The following is a 2792-nucleotide window of genomic DNA, read 5'->3' as shown; positions in this document are numbered from 1 at the left end:
CATCTCCTAGTTTGGCTCTTTTTGATAAATTTAAGGCTGACTTTAAAAAATATTTTTTGCTCTCCTTTTAAAATGTGTAGTTTTTCACCATTGTAAACAAGAACTTTGATACTAACTCTTTGCCTCGAATATGGCATAATATGTTAACCTTTGCTTTTCTTTCTTTCTTTCTTTCTTTTTTTTTTGAGATGGAGTCTTGCTCTGTTACCCAGGCTGGAGTGCAGTGGTGCGATCTCGGCTCACTGCAAGCTCCGCCTCCCAGATTCATGCCATTCTCCTGCCTCAGCCTCCCGAGTAGCTGGGACTACAGGTGCCCACCACCACGCCCGGCTAATTTTTTGTATTTTTAGTAGAGACGGGGTTTCACCGTGCTAGCCAGGATGGTCTCGATCTCCTGACCTCGTGATCCACCCGCCTCGGCCTCCAAAGTGCTGGGATTACAGGTGTGAGCCACTGCGCCCGGCCTAACCTTTGCTTTTCACTTTCTTTTTTTTGAAACAGGGTCTTGCTGTGTCACCCAGGCTGGAGTGCAGTGATGCATCCTCAGTTCACTGCAACCTCCGCCTCCTGGGCTCAAGCAGTCCTCCCATTTCAGCCTCTTGAGTAGCTGGGACTTCAAGTGCACACCACCACGCCTAGCTAACTTTTGTATTTTTTTTTTTTTAATATAGAGATGGGGTTTTGCCAGGCTGGTCGTGAACTCCTGGACTCAAGCAATCGATCTGCCTTGGTCTCCCAAAGTGCTAGGATTATAGGTGACAGCTACTGCACCTGGCCATTCCTTTTTATTATACGTAGTCATTGGGGATCTGGGGCAACTTTCGTCATTTTATTTCTGTGACAACAGTGAAGAGGTAATTTATTCAGTGTGTCCTTCCCCCTCACATTTTACCTATAAGGAGAACAATGTGGAGAGGTTAATGCTCTTAATTCATAGAGACACTTACAAGTTCTAGACAAAAGAAAGCTTTAATGTAGCCTCCAAAAACCTCTTCAACTTTTGTGGGTTTTTTCCCACCTACTTCTAACAATCCTCTTGGATTCTCTGGATTCTTAATAACTTCAGTCACTGACGCCATTACTGCTCTCTCCTTCTGGTTCATACTGATTACAAGTGGCTGTTCCTCTGCATCACCAGGTTCATAACCTCAATTTTCTCTGTTCTGAATCTCTTAAGAAGTATTTTTTTCCTATAAATTTCACATTTGCATTTTATTTTTAGAACTATTGCATGAAGGACATAGAATAAAGGGCAGAATCTGATGAGTGGGGAGATTATGACCTCGTGAAGTTAAAGCAGAGTCTCTTAACCTAGAAACTAGAGAAAGCTGGTATTCCCTTTGAAGCAACTCTTGCACCTCCATATTATAATAATTTAAATCACTTTAAAATAAAAAAATTATGTTGAAATGTAAGCATGGGAGAACAGTTTCAAGACATACTTGATGATGTGAAAAAAAAAAACTCTTGTAGAAATACACACTTAAAAATGTAGAGTACAAAATAGTACATATTCTATGATAAAAATCATGTAAAAAGGATGGGTATACATGGATATAGATTTGGAACTAAGGAAATGTAAATAGTTATTTTATTTAGGCCTAGACACCACAGGTACACTTTTTGAAACCATAAAAGCAAAACGTTTCTGGAAGGAAGATATATAACTACATATGCCTGGGTGGATTTCTGTAAACATACTGCAATGAAGAATTTTTAAAACTAAACTGGGGCTGGGTGCGGTGACTCACACCTGTAATCCCAGCACTTTGGGAGGCTGAGGCAGGTGGATCGATCACTTGAGGTCAGGTGTTTGAGACCAGCCTGGCCAACATGGTAAAACCCTGTCTCTATTAAAAATACAAAAATTAGCTGGGTTTGGCGGTGCACACCTGTAATCCCAGCTACTTGGGAGGCTGAGGCAGAGAATCACTTGAACCTGGGAGGTGGAGGTTGCAGTGAGCCGAGATCGTGCCACTGCACTCCAGCCTGGGCAACAGAGCAAAACTCAAAAAACAAAGGGTAAATTGGGCTGGGTTTATGAAGGAGAGAGAAAGAGAGCATTCTTTCCTTCTGGCTGAAGTGAGTTTGTGAGATAAGACTTCCCTTGTATCTGTTTTAAAACTTTTCCGTGCTTCTTTCCCTCTCCCACTTGGCTCCCTTTTGCTGTGGTCTGTTTTTCTTCTCCTCTCTTAATAGAAAATCTCCAAATTACTGTATGACTGATTATTTTGCCTGAACAAAAATAATGATAATAAAACTTCCAAAAACTGAAGTATGGTAAGTTTCCATTTAAAAATCAGACCAACAAGGTTGTGTCTCAAGAGCTGAGCATGCTGTCACCTTTGGCTTCTAAGAAACAACCAACAGCCTGCCTCAGTGTTCTACGTGTGTTTTCAGCCCTCTGAGTGTGGAAATAACCTAAGGGAGGGAGCAAAGGCCATACAATTGGAAGAAATAAATAGGCCTGCTTATTAGGTCTCCCTATAAAACTATTTATGACCTGTTATGCCTCATCTATTAAAGAACATAATAAGCACCACAGATCACATTACAGATGTGCATGTGGTTAACTTTAAAAATGCGGCTGTCTCCAGAAGGAATTCCGTTTGAGGAAGGGCCAGTTGCAGTGTAATGTCAAACTGTTTCCATCTGCCCTGTGGACTGCTGAACACTGATCATTTATGTCAGGGTCAGCAAGGCCGCTTTCTTCCCCGGGCAAAAAAAAAAGAGGGTAGTGGAGGTATACATCAGGCCAGAGGTGGTAAATCTCTACAGAGAGGAATCTAGCT

Source organism: Homo sapiens, chromosome 5 (assembly GCF_000001405.40).
Source record: "Homo sapiens chromosome 5, GRCh38.p14 Primary Assembly".
NCBI classification, from domain to species: domain Eukaryota; kingdom Metazoa; phylum Chordata; class Mammalia; order Primates; family Hominidae; genus Homo; species Homo sapiens.
This window is presented reverse-complemented; position numbering follows the sequence as displayed.